The 21,704-nt window shown below is 34.5% G+C and overlaps 1 protein-coding gene across 1 annotated transcript in view, besides 1 other annotated feature; it reads left to right on the top strand.

The window, feature by feature from the left end:
- TMEM65 (transmembrane protein 65) overlaps window positions 1-21,704 on the top strand; it is a 66,513-nt gene that overhangs the window by 18,182 nt on the left and 26,627 nt on the right. The gene's annotated exons all lie outside the window — the stretch shown is intronic.
- Window positions 13,695-13,895: a silencer, noted in NCBI's record as "peak7161 fragment used in MPRA reporter construct". NCBI's record gives its function as "represses an SCP1 promoter by STARR-seq MPRAs in K562 erythroleukemia cells {active_cell/tissue: K562}" and the evidence as "EXISTENCE:reporter gene assay evidence [ECO:0000049][PMID:32103011]".

Here is a 21,704-nt window from a genome sequence, read left to right as displayed (position 1 = left end):
GTCCCCCAAGATGACTGATTGTTGAGGGCTGTCTATTATCAGGACTTCTGGCAGCTAAGGATCAGATTATGTACCACATTGTCCACTGCAACGGGAGTACTGTGGTATGGATTTCCTATAAACAAGAACATTGCCCTGGATAACCACAATATAACATGGGTACTTTACTACCATCTAATACTCTGATGTCATTCAAATTCCACCAATTATCTCAGTAATTCTTTAGAGCAAAAAGATTCAGATCAGAATTGTGTGTTGCATTTAGTTGTTACCTATTTTTAATTTCCATCCATCTGGAACAGTTCCTTAGTCTTCCCCTTGAGTTGCATTGATCTTGACACTTTTGGGGATTACAGACCAGTTTTTTTGTAGCATGTCTTTGGGTTTTTTGTAGCACGTCTTTGAGAGAAACCAATTTGGGTTTCTCTCTTTCCTCATGAATATATTTCAGTTATGCATCTTTGACAGGAGTATCACAGGATTGATGTTATATTCTTTTTCATCCTATCATTTGGCCCATGATTTCAATTTGTCCTTGGTGATGTTAACTTTGGACGTTTGATTAACATGGTATCTATCTGACTTATGCACTCTAAAGTTACTGTTTTCCTTTTTATAATTTATAAGTCTTTTGTGAAGTGATACTTTGAGTCTATGAAATATCCCATTCATTTTAGCAATTTATATCAATATATTCTATTCAGTAGATTATAATTCATTACTATCATTTTTGATCTTCCAGCTACCCTATATGTGGCCAGTGGGAACCCCTTCAAGCTGGTTTCTGTGTCTTTTTGACGTGTCTTCATTACTCTTTGAATAATTCCTGGCTTGAATACTCCACAAGATGTTCCAGACTCATCTTGCACTTTTGCTGCCCTAGCCTTAGAATCAGCCATTTATACAAGAGACTCTTTTTTTTTCTCAGTGTAGATTAGTATTTAGAAACCAAGATCTGGGTGTTAGGTGTGCTCATAACTATTAGGATGTTGCCCTAAGAGTGGACAGAGCTAGTAAATAAATGAATATATGTATTTATATATAAAAGCTATATTATTTATAGTTCTATGTGTCTTTATGTATTATAAAGATTCATTACAGTTTCTTCAATACTAAGCTAATAACACAGGGCATGTTCTAGTTTTCTCACTTTCCGTATTTCTAACTCCATTCTCTGATGGAGAAATTCCTAGCTCCTATTATTTTTAATATATTTATTTATTTTTCACCACTGCTCCTGTCACCAAAATCCCATCACCACTACTGCCCACATATTCCTATACAGATGCCCTCCTTGCACCAACTTGGGCACTGACACCCTGAGCCACAATCCCTTCCCCTTAGTGTGTGGAAGCCTGTCTCAACCAACTGGTTCTTTTTTTTGTTTTTTTTTGAGACAGAGTCTCCCTCTGTCACCTAGGCTGGAGTGCAGTGGTGCGACCTCAGCTCACCACAACTTCTGCCCCCTGGGTTCAAGCAACTTTCCTGCCTCATCCTCCCTAGTAGCTGGGATTACAGGCGTGCACTACCATGCCCGGCTAATTTTTGTATTTTTTGTATAGACGGTGTTTCGTCATGTTGGCCAGGCTGGTCTCAAACTCCTGACCTCAAGTGATCTGCCCGCCTTGGCCTCTTAAAATGCTGGGATTACAGGCGTGAGCCACTGGACCCGGCCCAACTGGGTTCTGACACCTTATACCAGACCAACCTGCCTGTGTGGATACACCTCACACTGCTTGAGCTCTAAAACGCTGTTCTAGGCTTCTGTGGCTTCCCCTGCCTCCTATACAGATGCCTGCCTCACTCATTTCTTCCTCATGGCTTTTGGACAGAACTTTATGGGAGAGGGAAGAGAAATCCCACCTCCCCTCACTTACTGAAATCCTGCAATACTTTAAGGCTAAATCCTACCTCTTCTAGGAGTCTGTCTCCCACTTCTTAGGGAAATAATTTCTCCTTTCTGGAATCTTACCTGTATTTTTATTTTATTTTATTTTATTTTATTTTATTTTATTTTATTTTATTTTATTTTATTTTATTTTATGATAGTAAATTCAAGGAATTTAAGTGGAAAACATTTGACTTCTAAGAAAGAGAATCTTGTTCCTTTGATTTTACACTAATTTGTATAGGCAGAAAAAAATGTATATTAAATTTTAATGCCCTATTTCTCTGGATTTATGCAAATTCATTAATAATTCATTTTTCATTATTATAGGCAATCCCTGCTTTATATAATTTCTATATGCATGAATCTCAGTAACCATGTTTTAGTTAAATAACACCAGTTCCCAACAACTCAGTTCAAATTTCATTTAGAACAGTATAACTTTCAGTAATTGTATAAAGTACAAACTTTGCTGCTAGCTCCTCAGTCCATAAATCACTCTGTAGAAACATATGTACATCGTAATCATGACCAATCACATTGCTTTTCTTTAATAGTCTGTTGGTGATTGGTTACTATATGTCTGTCATTCAGTTCACACAGAGACAGCAAAGCATGTAGGTGTGTTTCCTCCTTGTCTCCCAGTGATAACGTGATGTTTTACAAAAATGGATAATCAAAAGGAAATGGACCAAAAGAGATAAAAGCGCAGCCAAGAAACAAAAAGTGAAAATGCTGAAGTGAAATTCTGGGAAGTGTAAATGGAGTATAGAAGAAATAGCTGACTGTGGGAATATTGACACTGCTATTGAACTGCTGTCATTTAAGAGACTCCAGATATACATCCAGAGGAGGTTAGGGAAGGTGAACTTATGGATATAAATGAAGAAAGTGAGGAGGTTGTGGTGAAAAGATGAAGCCGTTTCAGGGGAAGTGACCCTGGCAAAAAGTTCACATTAAAGGAACTCTTGGAGATATTTCATGACGTTGAAAATGTAAAGGATAAAATGTTATAAACTCATCCAGATTTAGAAAAGTGTGTGACAATTTATCAAGGTATGGAAAGATGCTCGCTGCATTTTGTAAGTTATATGATGAGAAGTTATATGAGAAGACTAGCACTGTTAAACCTGCTTCTGATAAGTTTTTTCCAAAGAAACAACACACTTTATCAGCGTTTCTAATGTTTTAAAGTATACTAAATAAACATTAGTTTTACTATTTTCAAAATTGTCCTTTACATTTATACCTGTCAATAAGAGAGTTTTTCATGTTTTGACAAAAAAATTTGAAAGGTCACAGAATGATTACAACTTTTCCCATCTGTTACTAAGGCTGCTTTGCACAGTTTAAGTTTGCGTTATCAGTTATATGACCCCACATTACTGTGCAAAGTAAAGACTGCCTGTATACTAGCATGTGGCACTTCTAAGTTTTATATATATTTTAAAGTTTATATATATATTATTTATTTTGTTGCATGCATATATTTTGATTTTAAAATATCTTTTAGCATGCAGATATCCCAAACCTGAGATTGCCATTGTGAAGCTTGCGAAGGAAGTATCCTCAGCAGAGACCCCTGATAGCTTTGGTATAGTACAGTCTTACAGTGTTGATTGCAAGTAGTGAAGCATCTATTTGATGGAACTTCTTGCTTGTTTGAAATAGACTGCCTAATTTTTCTGTTTTTGCGTTAGTGTTTTTGACTGTCTGTATGATGGAACAATAACTGCATGCTCAACTAACTGAAGGATTAAATTTTATAACTTTAAGAAAAGGCAAAATATTTATATTTAATTATATTTAAATAGAATATTTAAAAATTGTTGAAATAACCATAGCAAGTGAAACATAAGAAGCAGCAAAGTCTATGAATTTCTTTAGGACAAATGAGTAGGTAAAAAGGGCCACACACAGTGGAACCTTCAGAATATTGCGAAGAGAGACTGTATTTAAGTACAATGACTAAACTTCAGGAAATGTTCAGTATTTTAAAAATATATTTTTGAATAGTTTGACAGCCTTAAATAAGTTCATACTAAGGTCATTCATGAAAGTTTTTTAGATTCATCCACCATTCAGCTTGATATCTAACTCAGGTTACATGCTACGGTGATGGTAGAAGTGTGTGTGTGTGTGTGTGTGTGTGTGAGAGAGAGAGAGAGGGAAAGAGAGAGAGTGTAGGGGTATGTTATGAAAGAGGGAGTGGTGAGAGAGAGAGAGAAAGATTAAAACAAATATCTCTCTGTCCCTGTTTTATTTGTTTCTGATTACTATTTGATTTAGATACTTTGCCTAAGAAGTATAACACAGTGTATGAAAGGGAGTCTGAAATATTTTGTGGACCAATTGAAATTTTGTAGGGATAAGAGTTAAATAAAACTCAGACTGTATGTATAATGTCAGGCAAAAATAGCAAAAACTAAGCTGTAAGAACTTTAGAGAAATATAGGGGCATAGTGTTTTTACACACATGCACACACACACACACACACACACACACACACACTGATGTATTAGTACATTGTCTGCAAAAATACCCCAGTATACTCTTACTTTGCCAGCTCCAATATTAAAAATTTTAAATCTTAGTTTGCATGTAGAAGTTAAACATTTAATGCAAATGTATTTTGAAGAATAAAGTGTTAATTTTGAAATATTCTGAAGATATTTTAATTAGCCCTCAAATACTTATTTGATACTTATTCAAATTTATTCAAATAAAATTCAAATTTTATTCTATTAAGAATAAGATACTTATTCTTATAGATAATGGCACACAATATCACTAGGAGATCAGGAGCTGCTGAATGATAACTGATAGTAGGACTTGCCTGTCAGTGCTCTTGCCTTTTGAGACTCAGTGTTTGGTTATATCCCTACTTAGAGTAGTATGCTTCTTTATGAATGTTTAGGTGGTACATCTCTTGAAAGGATCATGAAGACCTGAACTCATTTTTTGTAACATAAAACTAAGACCCAGAGGGCTTGTAACCTGCTGAAGATTTAGTGACTAATTATATATCAGAGTAGGTATTTGTGTTAGGTCTTTTGGGTTTTTAGTTCGGTGCTGTTTTTCACTCTAATACATTTCTTCAGTGTTAGCAGTGGATTAGCCTCAGGCTATAGGGTATCCAGTTGTTTTGGAACCATGTAATAGTTTCCAGTTGTTCTGAAACCATCCAGCAGAAACCACCTAATACCTCCATTCAAAAAACATTTTATTTGGTAACTATGATGTATCATTTGATTTTCTCCTCTTTATTTTAACTTCAATTTTTTTTTAAAAAAAATGTATCTGAAGGGGAATTACATTTTATGAGGGGAAAAAAAGCAATTTGAAAAGGATATTAGTATTTTAGCTAATTGCAGTTTTATTTCAATTTCAAATACTAATGAATAACCAGTGTTTTGACAATGTTTTATATATGCACATACAATTGATTCTTGGTTCTTCCATATTTTTCTATTGAGAATTTATTAACTGAATGAGAAGTAGAATGGGAAAATGAGAATCTGAGTTCTGGACCTAGCTGTGTGTCTTTGAGTAAGTCACTTAACATCTGTGGGCCTAAGTGGCTACATCTTCAAAGTGGAGAATGAAGTCAGTATTTCACAGTGAGTGTGCTTCTGGTATTTGGGCTGGATAATTCTTTGTTATGAAGTACTCTGTTGTGCATTGTAGGAAGTTTAGATTCCTTAATGCTGGTGGTAGCATTTCCCAGTCATTATCATATCCCAGACGACCCTGCATATCCAAACCTCTTCTAGTGGGGAGGGACCACTTCATATTGAGAACTACTGGCAAATGGTCTCTAAGAATTCTTTCAGCTTCAACATTCTGTGAAAGAATTCTTATTTGGGGCATGATTGAAAAAGAAGGTAATATATCATACACCGAAAAACCTCTGCTGCTTCCTGGATACGAAACAATTTTATTTTAAAATGAATAACTTTTACGAATCTGTGTAGCCCTACTCACAGATCTACCATTTATGATGTTCCAAGATAAATTATTTTATTCTAGCTTGCCTTAGGCTTTTTCTCTACAGTATTATCCATAGCTATATGATTTTTTAAACTAAAAATTATATAGTACCATCTCTATATCTAATAAGTAAAAGCAACAAGATTTTTTTTTAAGTTGTACTATTGTTTTAATATCTTAGCCTTTAAAAAAGGAATATCATTGTATATAGTAATTATTTTCTTTATCTTCCATAGGCATAAAAGAAGGGAAGGAATATAATTTTCTGTGTTTAGAAGTATATATAGTTGTTGAAGCACACAAGTTATATGTGTGAAACTACAGGTCAGTAGTATATCTGATTATCCTTAAAAAAAAAAACTACCATGAAATGCAATAAGAAAAATAAATTATTGGCCAGGCACGGTGGCTCACGCCTGTAATCCCAGCACTTTTGGAGGCTGAGGTGGGTGGATCACCTAAGGTCAGGAGTTTGAGACCAGCCTGACCAACATGGAGAAACCCTATCTCTACTAAAAATACAAAATTAGCCAGGTATGGCGGCGCATGCCTGTAATCCTGGCTACTGCCTGTAATCCCGGCTACTGCCTGTAACCCTGGCTACTGCCTGTAACCCCAGCTTCTCGGGACACCGAGGCAGGAGAATCGCTTGAACCTGGGAGGCAGAGGTTGCGGTGAGCCGAGATCACGCCATTGCATTCCAGCCTGGGCAGCAAGAGCAAAACTCCGCCTCAAAAAAAAAAAAAAAAAGAAAAATTATTGTACCTCTAGTATTTACTATTATTTAAGTCAGAGTTAAATAGTTAATAGGGATGGTACATTAATATGGTTGATAAAGGTGATGATTAATTGAATACTATAGTTTACTTTGTGATTGCTTCTGGCCAACTCCTGTCCTCAGCTGTTATACCACTGGTCTCAACCAGTCTGGAATTCATTAGTTGCTTCTAGGTAACAGGTTGCAGTGAAGTCCCAGGTTGCTTGGTAAGTTCCCTGGAAGGTTAACAATGTGACAGTTTTAGTTCTTTTATTTACTTATTTATTTAATTAAAAAATCAATAGTTTTAGGGGTACAAGTAGTTTGTAGTTACCTGGATGAATTGTATAGTGATGAGGTCTGGGCTTTTGGTGTACCCATCACCTGAATAGTGTACGTTGTGCCCAATAGGTAGTTTTTTGTCCCTTGCCTTTCTCTTGCCTCTTCCATTCTAAGTCTCCAATTTCCATTACAATGTTAGTTTTTATAAGATATAAGTAGAAATTTCTTTCCTACATAAGGTATATGTTGCAGTAATTACTTTTAAATGCTAAATAAAATTACAAGATTACGCTCAAATGCCTTTATGGGTTTTACGTAAGACATATATATTTAGAAATAATTAAAAAGTCCTTTTACAATTAAAATTTCTGTTTAAAAAGACAGGTTAATTAAAATCTACTAAATTAAAAGTTAAGCTCTGCTGTTTCTAAAGAGCTTAACTTTAGAAAGCTTAACATTCATTTTTCAATTTTGAATGTCAGGTTTTGTAAGTATATAACTTGGCCATATTAATTTGTTTCTTTTTAAAAAAAACACTGCTGTGTTGCTTTATAAACCACTTTTGGTGCACGTTAGACTTTTTGGCATTTGATTTGCTTAAATTATTTTACTTATAACATGGTTTGCATTTTAAGTTTGTATTCTTTAATATGTTGTATATTTATTGTAAATTTTACCTTACTCATTTGAACTTTTGGTTCTATTAAAGGACTAAGCAGTTATTCATAATGTTCAGAATTGTGGGTAACTGAGACCCTTGGTCCCCAAATTGTTGCTGAAACTCACTAGTTTAATATCTATTATTTTCATAAATTTTCTAATTAGGCCAGACTGTGATTTGTGTTGTCATGTCTACTTCCTGCACTTTTGTGGGAAAGATATTAGGGTGAGTTTGGAATAAATATTAGGTGGTCAAAGGTCAGCAACTGCATAATTAGACACTTAAAGAATACTGAGTTATTTGTAATAAAGGAATAGTATATGCATTAAGCTGTTCCTTTTCTGTCATCTCAGGGTGAAGCTGCTTTGGTACTTTTCTTATTAAGTTTATTATAAATAATTTGGATTTTTACCTTCATTTGTGATTTTTATATTGCTTTTTACATCCATGATAATAGGCTGAAATATCACGTTAAGAGTCATTATTTCCATGAAAGCATAATAAAAAAAATAGACTAGGAAATAAGACTCTTTCTTTTTCAGATTTTCTTTTATTTCAAGTATGGATTTACACACCCTGTAAAGTGTGTGCTATAGTTTCACTCTGTGTCCCCACTCAAATCTCATCTCAAATTGTAATCCCCACCTGTCGAGGGAGGGACCTGGTAGGAAGTGATTGGATCATGGGGGTGGTTTCCCCTATGGTGTTCTCATGATAGGGAGGAAGTTCTCACGAGATCTGATGGTTTTAAAAGTGGCAGTTTTCCCTGCACGCTCTGTCTCTCTTGCTGCCATGTAAGATATGCCTTGCTTTCCCTTCACCCTCTGCCACGATTTTAAGTTTCCTGAAGGCTTCCCAGCTATGCGGAACTGCAAGTCAATTAAACCTTCTTTCTTGGCAGGGCACGGTGGCTTATGCCTGTAATCCCAGCACTATGGGAGGCCGAGGCAGACGGATCACGAGGTCAGGAGTTCCAGACAAGCCTGACCAACATGGTGAAACCCTGTCTCTGCTAAAAAATATACAAAAATTAGCTAGGCATGGTGGCATGTGCCTGTAATCCCAGCTACTCTGGAGGCTGAGGCAGAAGAATCACTTAAACCTGGGAGGTGGAGGTTGCAGTGAGCCGAGATTGCACCATTGCACTCCAGCCTGGGTGACAGAACGAGACTCCATCTCAAAATAAATAAATAAATAAATAAATAATAAACCTCCTTTCTTTATAAATTACCCAGTCTCAGGTAGTATCTTTATAGCAGTGTAAGAATGGATTAATACGGTAATGTTAAATTTAATGGAACATTCAACATGAAAATGACAAATTATAGTTTCTATTAAATAATAGAGCTCACTCTATATGCCATTAGCCCTGTTTCTGTGTTACAGCATCACCATTGTTGTAAACATGTTTTGTAATTTTATGATGGAGGCTAAAATGTAGAAACTATAGGTGTTGCACATTTCTTTTACTAAAATCTATTGCTTTTCAATTTAGGATGTATCTCTTAGTAGTGTTAAAAGATAATCTTTAGAAAAATTAAAGTTAGCAGGATTCATTTGAACAAAGAGACAACTCACGTGTTGGGCAGCTCTCTGAATGCTTACTGGTGACAAACCAGCACAGGTTTAGAGAGTTCCTCCCAGCAACACATGGGCAGGCAGTATTTATAGACAGATAGAAGTGCTATACAGAAACAGCCTTTTGTTTACAAGTTGGTGTTTTCCTTATTTGGACATGTCTGAGCAGTTTGCAGCCTGTCATTGGCTGAAAGGTCAGCTCCTATGATTGGCCAAAGCTCAGCTACTTGTTACAAGAATATACTTTGAGGTAGGTTGCAGTGTGTTTACATATGAAATTAGATTGCAGTTTGCTACATATGGAGGCAGCTCTAGGCCAAATTTAATTTAACAATTTCCCCCTTTTGATCAGTCTCTCAATTTTGAGAGATTGACCAAAATTTTGGGCATTGACACCATTCTTTGTCACTCACCATCATAACAGACTTGCTTGGTCTCTATGGAATTCACAATTGTTAATGTCAGGTAAGCTGAACGTTTATGTTCTCTTCATGTTTTTATTGTTCTAACCATAGCGAGGCCATTTGATATATATTGTATGGCTATACATGAGCACTTAATACTCTAGAGAGGATATGGTGTACCAGGGAGACTATTATGGCTATCAGGAGGATAATACTAAGAGACTGAAGTATACTTCTTAACAGGAGCTCCTGTCAATTGAACCAATCAAAATCAAATATATAAAAAATGAGCCAAAAGAAGAATCTACTTGTTTTAACAAAGTAGCTTACTTAATGATTTCTGGCAACTGACTTTCTATCATACCAGATATATTTATGCAAGTGCAGCAGGAGGTGTTAGCTATTGCATGCAGTCTTCTTTGTTCAGACAGCAGAGTCCAAAGGAATGATGCTGTCTGAAACAGTTTTAGCAAGAGAATTTGAAGAAGTTTGCTGGGCAGCTATAGCCTTTGCAGTAGAGTCAGCTGTAGTAGCTAATGTTTGAGACAAATTTCTAATCATAACCTCATTTACATTTATGCCAAGCCAGGGAAGGAGTATTTTACCAGAAAAAATAAAAATAAAAATGCCTATTTAGAGTGATTTACACCTGCTGGCAAATTCCCCTTTATTTTATAGTGCAAATTAAGAGGTATAGACCAATGTTCATTTTCCAGTTGGTTATGGAGTGACAGTGATACCATTAGAATCCCTAAACCACATTGGTTCCTTATTTTCCACTTATTGATACATGGAGTTACCCACATATGTGGTTGATCATAAAATCCTCCACAGATAAAAATGTATCTTGGAGGTGCACAACAGGCAGTTCCTTATGAAATGCTTTGTACATTAGAGGCCACTATTAGAGAAGCACTAGCAATATTTGTCTAAGGCTCCATTATTGGAATCATTGCAAGGTTGGAGGCTACTGACAAGGAATTAGGGTTACACATTTGCCTATAAACTGTCAAATCGTCTTCCTCTGGTTTTCTTATACAATTTCTGGCGTAATTTAACTGCAAAACCCTCACTATAGGTTTTGCCTACTGTTAGTAACATGACATATCTAACATTCAATTGCAGAAGATGTTGGTTATGAAATCTTAATTATCACATTATCTTGCCATATATAAACAGAAAAGGAACACAGGCCAAAGAGGAAAAGAGGCACAGGTTTCATAGTGACAGAGAAGTCTTGATTTGTAATCTTGGGAAAGCTGTTCACATCCAGGATGCCATCTGCTTCTGGGTAAAATAAATAGCTTTCCTGGTCAGCCTTACCTTGAGGTCTCTGATTGGTATACAGTCTGAAGAGTCTAGAGAGGCCCTCTTGAGTTAAGAGATGTGGATCAAAGACTCGAGGTCCTGAAATTTTACTGCAGAGAACATGTTGGTATTGTTTTTTCCAACAGAATTCAAGGGCAGTCATTCTAGGTCTTTTTCAAAAGACCTAAACTCCTGGTTCTAGATAGTGAAAGGTCTGATTGTCATCAGTTGGTGGGTCATGAAGGGCTTCTTTTACCTGATGATAATATACTTTGGCATCTTGCATTTAAACCTCTCAATACTGAATCAAGTCAGAGTTTATAAGAGTGGTAGATACATGAGGTTCTATTATCAGGGACATAGGACTTCCAGTAACTGTTATATAAGGGGTCAATCTATGTTTTCTAGTGGAGTGGATCTGATTGCCATCAATTGGTAATACCTTTGACCAAGGCCATCAAGTCAATTCAGTTAGCTTTGTTTAATGCCATTGTGTTTGTAGAACCTTATTTGTTTTACAACTTGTCCATTGAAGTGAGCTTTGTTTAATGCCATTGTGTTTGTAATACCTTATTTAATTGTTTTACAATTTGTCCATTGAAATGAGTAACTTTATCACTGGAGATTTCTCCAGAAATACCCTATAAAAGAAACATATTTTCTAATAACCTTTTAATTGCTCTTACAGCATCGGCCTTATGTGCAATCAGAAAGCTTCTATATAATCATAAAACCTATGTTAAATGTGGTAATTGAATGAAATTCATCTGTAAGTGGTCAAATGATTCATTAGGTGCTAGAAATGTATTACCTGAGGTTTTTTATTATCTTACCAGAATTATGGGTTTGCCAAACCAAACATTAGTTATAAACCACTTTAGCAATCTTAGAACAGTCACTCGAACAATTTTTCCCTGTAATTTGGATCATTTTATCTCTTCTGTGATGAGTCTTGGAGTGCAGAGCTTTTAATAATGGAAGTTTTCAGGAGTCAGGAATGACCAGGCAGCTGTCCAGGCTTTCCATGAGCCCATGCTTAACATTGGATTTATATCCTTTTAAATAACAATTTTATTTATCTAATTCAGGTGCATAGCACTTGTTTATTATATAGGTTATCATAGATAATTTGACTTGGATTAATCTCATAGAGTTCGTTCAAATTGCATATCTTAACAATTTCAGTACTGGCTGAACTACTGTGAAAATCTGCCAAGGCATTTCCTTAGTATTTAATTAATTCTTGTTCTGCTTTATGTTGGGTTAGCAGTTTTATGAACCAATGAGTTTCTTCCTTAGAGTTCTTGGACTCAGTCCAATGGTATGATCTTAAAGTTATCAGAAACTTGTACTTCTCAGAGTTCTTTACATGAATCTCCTTGAAGATGTAACCCTTTAGGCTTATAGTTGCTCAGGAAAGTACAAGAGTAAATAACCAAATATGAATGATAAAACTTACAATGGCCATGATTAAATATCTGATGAGAGTTCATTACAGTGATGATACAGTTGACAGGGAAATTTGATTATTTCTGTTGCATACAGCATTTGAATATAATAACTAGAATGATGACTGATTGTATTATACCAGAACCATCAGATTGCTATGAATTTCATACAGTTTCTGAAACACATCCATACAAATGAAACTCAAAGTTTAGCATTACTTATTTGGCAATACTTCTCATATAATTTAATATGTCAAATAAGCCCAGTTAGTTTAATATCTGTCTTTTTATATAAGGAGAAGCATTCTTTTGAATGCTTATATACGAGATGTTTCAAGGGCTTGACCGGAAAATCAAAGTTGAGGTCAAAAAAAAAAACTTTATTAAGAATCTAAGTTTGGGAAATGTGTTAAAAATATCAAATGTTTAAAATCCGTGATTAAAATAGGGTTACAGGTCACTGTGAACAGTAGTCATTCATTTAACAAAAGTGAAAATTACAAGACTAGACTTCAAAGGTAAATACAGAAAGCTACATAGTTGTAGAGAAAACTTAGCTCTAAATTTTAATAGAGAATATTTTGTTTTCTTAAGTGGTCAAACACCCAATAAAAGCAACATGGACCACAAGAAATTACTTTGGTAAAACACAGAATCTGTTTCCTAGATCAATTACCTAAAAGGTAAAGAAAAACTTTTCACAATTTCCTATTAAAAGTAGACCAGTAGTCCAAGAAATTCTTACTGTTTTAACACAGGGAACCAAATTCTAATTTTGTATTAGTATACTTTTGGTATTAATGCTCAGTTTTTAGAAAAACTGATAAATAATTCCCTTCTAATCTTAGCTGGCTTTGTCACACATAAAATTCTTTTTACAAGATTCGTCCTTTGCAAACCTACAACTTTCTTCTGCATTTAGATTTTGTTTTATACTTTTCCTGTTCTCATCTTGGGATGACCAGTCATTCTACTTTCAAACAAAAATTACATTTTTCCCTTAATGAAACAAAACAGCCTCATACTTTATAGCTTTTGCTTACCAAAATCATGTATTACTTTTCTTTTATACTTTATATAAAATTATTTCTCTTATTTCTAGTAATTTTAGTATATATATTAATTAGAATTCTGAACTCTTAATGACTTTAATTTCCAAAGGACACTAGGAAGCAAATAATTGTGAACTATTTGTCACACCAGCCATGTGAAGATTTGCAAATCTATGAATCATAATATCTGGAAGCGTGTACTTTCTCATAGCACAGTTTGTCAGTGTGGCACAGAACATGTTTACTAATGGCCCCAAGTATCTTTAGTCTCTGTAATAAGAAACTGTAGAAGAAGCAAAATGTTATCTATCTTCTTTGGATTTTTGGCTAGGCCTATTTGTGCACATTTTTCTCAGCCTTAAATTTCCATTCTTGATGATAAGAATGTTAAAACCTTCTGGTATAGGGAAGACATCGTTCACATGGGACTTTTATCTCTATTTAACTCACTCGTTTTTAATAATTATGCTTGGATTGCTTAGCAAGATGGGACATCAAACAGCTAGTCATCATCTTAAGTTACTTTTCTTGCTGATGAATTTTGTAATGTAGAGATAACATAAGTTTATTTCACCAGTAAACCTAGGTAGGAAAAGTCATGTATCTGTGTTAATTTTAATGTTAATGACTGTGAAGATATGTCTGTTTTAATCAAACCAATAATATTCTTATTTGCCAAAGATTACCCAAGTCGTGTGAGCTTCAAAAATCATTTGGGTCATTTCCTATTTTTCTGAGCAAATACTTCATTTATCTAAGTGCTTATTTTTCTTTAAGTCAAATAGATAGCATTCTTATACACTTTAATTTGGCAATATCATAAGGAAATAGAAAATATCACACATATATAGATATACATCATAGATGCAGACATATATAAACAGAAACAGATCTTACACCTTTCATTTAAAACTTTTAGCCATGTTCCACATACAATAATACAACACTCATGAATTTATTAAAGAATACATGGATCCAAATTGTTTTTCTGGCCAGTGGAATATTTCCTGCCCAGATAGCTACAACTTTTGAATGATATTTGTGAAAAAGACTTTAAGATGTTTTTACTTGCCTTCTGTAAAGAAGCTTTTGAAGAGGCCGTCTTTGATTTATTTTTTAAATGCCTCTGCTTGCCAGTTAAAGAATGCATCCCATTGCTTTTGTGGCATTGGGATCCTTTCTTTTCTGATACACCTCACAAGTGAGCAATTTAATCTAGGTTAAAACTTCCCTATTGTGGCCACTGTAATTCTAAGTTGTCCTTAGTAAGATTAAGGACATTTTTTTTTTCCAAAAATACACAGGTTCTGGGCCTGTAATTTTTCTCTATAAAGTTAGCCAGTGTCCCAGAAGGTGGAGTCCCAGACTCTTTAGATTTAGGGGAAACCACTTTGAAAAGGTACCTACCTGAGTCCTCCAACTGGATCCAATCCAATCCAATCCTGAATCCCATCTAGTAAAAAATGCTCAAATAAAGTCAGTGAGCTCAAAACTCAAATTCATGCTGCTCAAATCAGAGGGATCAATGTGCACAATTGGCTCTGGCCCTTTGCTTGGACACTTGGTGCTCCTGGAGGTATACTTCAGATCTCACTTTTGATGCCAAATTGCTAAAAGAAAAACATTAGACAGATTAAATATAACAAAGTTTATTTGGGCAAAGAAATAACTCATGAATTGGGCAGCACTCTGAACCTTAAAAGGTTCAGAGAGCTTCATCCAGCAATGTGGGCAGACAGTATTTATAGATAGAAAAAGGAAATTATATACAGAAATAACTTTTTTGCTATAGCTTGTGTCTGTCTTGTTTGGACATGTGTGAGCAGTTTGCAGCCTGTAATTGGCTGAAAGCTCAGCTGCTGTGATTGGCCAAGATTCAGCTACTTGTTGCAAGAATATTTTATATATATATATATATATATATATATTTTTTTTTTTTTTTTTTTTTTTTTTTTTTTTGAGACAGAGTCTTGCTCTGTTGCCCAGGCTGGAGTACAGTGGTGCGATCTGGGCTCACTGCCGCAAGCTCTGCCTCTGAGGTTCAAGTGATTCACCTGCCGCAGCCTCCTGAGTAGCTGGGACTACAGGCGCCTGCCACCACGCCCAGCTAATTTTTGTATTTTTAGTAGAGACGGGGTTTCACCATATTGGCCAGGCTGGTCTGGAACTCCTGACCTTGTGATCCACCCGCCTTGGCCTCCCAGAGTGCTGGGATTACAGGCGTGAGCCACCAGGCCTGGCCAAGAATATATTCTTAAGGTGGGTTGCAGTTGGTTTACATACTGTATCAGCTTACAATTCACTGTGTACTCAGGCAGCTTTAGGCCAAATTTAATTTGACAGTAGCATAACTTATTTAAAAAAGAAATATATCAGGCATAGTTTATCCTAAAAAGTATTTTAGATGCTTTTGTTAATATTGGACTGAAGGTTTTTTATAAAGAAGTTATTTTTAAAGGGAAGTATAATAAAGAGGAGATATACAGGTTAAATCTTATAGTGAACATTCAGACTTGTTTTGTTCTATGTATTGGAATCTTGTTGTCAATTAAAATAAGTTTGAAATTGTTGCTTGGAACTTTCTTTTAAGGATTTTGTCTTAATGACATTTTGCCTGCATTCTGAAAACATGAAAATATGAGTGTAACATTAAAAAAATAAAAATGCAGTGAGATGGGGGTAACTTGACATACTTTGTCTGCGATGAATTTTGCAGAAATAAAAAAAAACCACCCTTACATATATTCTCTCTTGCTGTTGCTCTTTCTCACTCTTTGGTTCAGTAATGCCACTTATAGGAATCTATTCTAAGGAATTTTCAGAGCAGTGCAAAATAATTTAGGTACAAATTAATGTTATTTGAAAGTATGAAAAGTAACAAATATCTAATAATAGGCTATTAATGAAATGACTATATCATTAAATACACTTTCACAAATAAAATTATTTTCTTAAAAAATTTAAAGATGTGGGAAATATTCATTATTTAATGCTTTGTGGAAAAGGCAGAATACAGTTTTGTGTATATATCTTTATAGGAAAAAGATTGAAGGACAATACGTCAAAACATTTATTTCTGATAAACTGTGGATGCTTTTAAGTTTCTTTTCGCTTTTCTGAATCTCATTAACTTTCTATAATTATATAATCTTTATAATGAAAAATAAACCAAATAAATTAAGTATTTTAGATGTTATTTTCTAATTTTTACCTCAAAATTCCTTTTAATAAAAAACAAACTCAATATCCTCATCCTTTTAACATATGCAACTATGAGTATAAGAATGTAATACTTTTATATAAAAATGGCTTGTTTAATGTAAAATATTTGCAGTCAAACCCCTATTATAACAATCAGTTTTGACTAAAATGCGGAGTCAAAGGAAAAGGCTTTGTTGACTTCTTAAAACTCTACTTCCTCATGAACAGATTGGAGAGTCTCATTTCAAACAATTTTCATTTGACTTACTACAGCATAAATCAGCAGTTTATAGTAACTGTCTTATCTTATTTAACCTTTAGCAAAGACTTTAAAATGTGAAATCTAAAGGAAAGAAATTTATATGTAAATATTATCTCATGGATTCTTGTAGATAATTTTTCTATCCTATGTATTTCTTCACATGGAATCCTATTAAGAGCAACTTTTCCTTCATTGGAAAATGTCTAAGAAAGAGGACATGTAAAGAAGTTTGGATGTTGGTTATTTTTGCCACTATTATGAATAAACTCTTATACTTCGGAAAGCAGAATATTTATTATGCCATTAAGGCTTTTTGTTCTGTGTTCATGAGGAATAGTCATCTGGTTTTCTCTTCTTTGTAAATTTCTTGGTTAGGCTTTGTTTTTAATGTTGTTCTGTCCTCATTAAATGAGTTGAAAATTATTTCCTCATCTATTTTTTGGAAGAGCTTTTGAGTTTGTAGGATTGATGTTTTTTCTTTAAATGTTTTAACAAAATTCATCAATGAAACCATCTAGGTTTGGAAGGGGTGTGTGTGTGTGCGTGTGTGTGTGTTTACATATAAAGTTTTTTGGTAACAAATAAATTTTGTTAGAGCTAGTCAGATTTTTGTTTGCTTAATCTGCTAGTTTTGGTAGGTTATATTTTTCAAGGAATTTGTCCATTTCACCTATGTTGTTGAATTTTGGGTGTAACGTTTTTCATAATACTCTTTTCTTTTTAATATCTGTGGGATCTGTAATGATGCCCCTTCTTTCATTCCTGATATGAGTAATTCTTATTCTCTTTTTGTCTATCAGTATAGCTAGAGTCTTATTAATTTTATTGATCTTTTCAAAGAACCAATTTTGACTCTTTATTGTTTGCTTTCTGTTTCATTGCTTCTTTCTACTACTTAGTTTATGTTTACTTTGCTCTGTAGCTTCTTAAGATGGAACTGTAGTTTATTTATTTTAGACCTTTCTTCTTTTTAATGTAAGTATTTCAAACTGTAAATTTCCCCCTAAGCATTCATTTAGCTGCATTCTACAAATTTTGATATATTGCATTTTCATTGTTACTCAGTTTGAAATATTTTCTAATTTCCTTTTTGATTTCCTCTTTGGTCCATGTATTTAGAAGATGTTTAATTTCCAAATTTGTTTTGTCATATATCTTATTGTTACTGATTCCATTATAGTCAGAGAACATATTTATGATTTTAATCAAATTTATTAACATGTTTTGTGGATCAGCATATGTTCTATTTTGAGGAATGTGCCATCTGCACTTGAAAATAAGATGTATTCTACAGTTGTTGAGTGTCGTTTTGTATAAATATCAATTAGATCAACATAGTTGGTAGTGTTCAAGTTTATATCTTAGTGATATTTTTGCCTAGTTTTCTGTCAATTACTAAGAAAAAGGCTTTTATATCTCCAAGTATGATTATGGAAGTGTTTGTTTTGCCCTTTAATTCTGTTAGATTCAGCATCGTGCATTATGAAATTCTGTTATTAGGCATAAACATGCAGTTGTTATGCCTCCTGATGCATTGACCCTTTTGTCATTTTGAAATGTCCCTGGTTTATTTCTGGTAATACTCTTTGTCTTTAAGTCTACCTCATCTGATATTAATAAAGCTCCAGCCTTTATAAGCCTACTGTTTGTGTAGCATATTTTTTGCCATCCATTTACTTTCAACCTATTAAACTGTAATCCTTGGGATATCATATAGTTGGGTCTTACTTTTTTTGTTCGTTTTTGTAGTCTCTGCATTTTAATTGCAGTGTTTAGTCCATTAAAATTGAATGTAATTATTGATATGGTTGGATATAAGTTTACTATTTTGCTATTTGTTTTCTGTTTGACCCTCTGTTTTTTGTTTCTGTTTTCCTTTCCTGCATTCTTTTTGCTTAATTGAACATTCCTTCAGATTCTCCTTCAAGTTACTTATTAGGTTCTTAACTATGTTCTCTTTGTATTTCATCTGTATGTGTAGTTACTCTAGGGATTACAGCATGTATTCTTAACTTTTTGCAGACTCTTATAGCTAATATTGGACCATTTTATTTTCATCATAGAAATGTTGCAACTAAATTACCAAATCAGTCCATTTACTGCCCCGTTCATCCTTAATGTTATGATGTCATATGTATTCATCTACATATTTTATAAACACTATAAGACAGTGTTACAATTTTTGCATTACACAGTCATGTCTATTTAAATTAAATCACTAGGAAAAAGTAATCTTTTATATTTACCCAGACATTTACCATTTCTGATGCTCTTTATTCCTTCCTCAAGAATTTACTTTTCAACTGCTATTTCCCTTCAGACTAAAGAATTTCTCTTGCACTTTCTGTATCGCAGGTTGACTGTTAACACATTCTTATAGCTTCAGTTATCTGAAATACATTTTGCCTTCATTCTTAAAGGATACATTTTTGGATGTAGAATACTGGACTGACGCCCATTTTCTTTCTGCATACTGAAGTTATTTTTTTGTGTGTTTAATATGTATTTAGTTCTGACTGCTTTCAAGATTTTTTCCTTTATGATAATTTTCCTTCATGTTTATTCCACTAGAAGTTCACTGAACTTCTTGAATCTTTTGAAATTTTTGTCTTGCACTAAATTTGGGAAATTTGTAGCCATTATTTATTCAAAGAGTTTTTGTTCCTAGTTTCTCTACTTGCCTTTTAATTACAATCATACATATATTAGCATATATTAGCCCTTTTAATATTTAGCCATTGGTCCCTGAGACTCAGGTTTATTATTTTTTCAATCCTTTCAGTCTCTGTTGTTCAGACTGAATAATTTTTATTGATCTGACATCATTTTCACTAACTCTTCTCTCACCTTCATTCTGCTTGTAAGCCTATCCAGTTAATTTTTTTTTAATTTTTAATTTTCTTTCTTTTTTTTTTTTTTTTTTTGAGACGGAGTCTTGTTCTGTCGCCCAGGCTGGAGTGCAGTAGTGTGATCTTGACTCACTGCAACCTCCACCTCCTAGGTTCAAGCAATTCTCCTGCCGCAGCCTCCTGAGTAGCTGGGATGATAGGTACCCCCTACCATACCTGGCTAATTTTTGTATTTTTAGTACAGATGGGGTTTCACCATGTTGGTCAGGCTGGTCTCAAACTCCTGACCTTGTGACCCACCCACCTTGGCCTCCCAAAATGCTGGGATTACAGGTGTGAGCCACCGTGCCCAGCCCCAGCTAATTTTATAATTTCAGATAATGTATCTTTCAGTTCTAGAACTTTTTATTGGTTCTTTTTTCGATATTTTCTTCTGTTTCTCTGATGAGATTTCCTGTCTTATTCATTTAAGCATATTTTTATTTACATCTTTGAATACAATTTTAATTGCTCCTTTAAAGTTTTTGTCTGCTAATTCTAACATTTGAGTGACTTTGGGATTGGTCTGTATTGTCTTCTGAAAATGGGTCACATTTTTCTTTTTCCTTGTTTGTGAAGTAATTTTGTATGTATCCTAGTTATTCCTGTAATTGCTACATTGTAGAGACTCTGGATTCTGTCTTGTTCATCTGAAAAGCATTGATTTTTGTTTGTTTTAGCAGGCATTTAATGGTTAGGTTCAAACTGCAAACTCTTGTGGGATGCCTTCAAATCTTTACTTATTTTGCCCTTAGTCGGTATTTTTGGAGTTTTCCCTGCACATGTGTGGTTCCACAAGCCAGCTGTAGACTTGAACTGAATGTATGCACAGAATTTAGGACTCTTCCTTTCTGACTCTATCCTTTCCAGGATTCCTCTCTCACTTTCTAGTTGTTTGGTTACCTGGCACCTCATCCTCTGGTTCTTCAGACAGAGACTGAGGAATTTTCATCAGAGCTTTAGTTGCTCTGCATGTTGTGACTGGAGCCTGCCCACAGGCTGAAAGCTGCAACAAACAGGTAACTAACTCACTTAGTGTCATTTCTTTTTCTGTGTTGATTCCCCTCTAGATCAACCTGGTTTCAATAATTTTCCAGTGCTTTCAGGTAGTTAATTTGTTGTATTTTTGTTTGTAGTTTGTGGTTGTTCCATGCAGGAGAATTCCTCTGATAAGAGGTTACTCAGCCATTATGGAAAGTAATATGGCAAATGTGGTATGGTGAAGTACAAGCTTAATAGTTATCTTATTGTTTTAAAATATCCAGAAAAGGAAAAGAGTATGATGTATATAATACACACAGACACACACACACACACACACACACACACGCACACACACACACAGATGGAAAGAACTGTTTTAACTCCATAGTTGATTTAATAAAACATTGGAGCAGAACACATTTCCAATGTAAGTGTAGATAGTTTATTATATGTCAAAAGAAAATTCTGAAATTAATTCATAAAATATATATATATGGAAATAAACCTTCTGGGATGTATTGTGACTATTTTCAGGGATGTTATACTGGCAGTAATTACATTTTAAAACCCATACAGATCACTGAAACCTTGGGCTGATTTACAAGTTCCGTTTTGTATTTTATAGGTAATTTTTTTTTTTTTTACTTCTGATGTATGTTTTGTTTTGATTCAGTTAACATAAGAAAGAATAACTTCTGATTTTAAAAAAAATTGGGCTGGGCATGGTGGCTCACGCCTGTAATCCTAGCACTTTGGGAGGCCGAGGTGGGTGGATCACCTGAGGTCAGTTCGAGACCAGCCTGGCCAACATGGTGAAACCTCATCTCTACTAAAAATACAAAATTAGCCAGGTGTGGTGGCACACACCTGTAGTCCCAGCTACTCGGGAGGCTGAAACAGGAGAATCGCTTAAATCTGGGAGGTGGAGGCTGCAGTGAGCCGAGATCGCGCCACTGCACTTCAGCCTGGGAGAGACAGAGTGAGACTCCATCTCAAAAAA

Source organism: Homo sapiens, chromosome 8 (assembly GCF_000001405.40).
Source record: "Homo sapiens chromosome 8, GRCh38.p14 Primary Assembly".
Taxonomy (NCBI): domain Eukaryota; kingdom Metazoa; phylum Chordata; class Mammalia; order Primates; family Hominidae; genus Homo; species Homo sapiens.
Note: the sequence above shows the minus strand (reverse complement) of the source record. Positions and strands in the feature narration are given on the sequence as shown.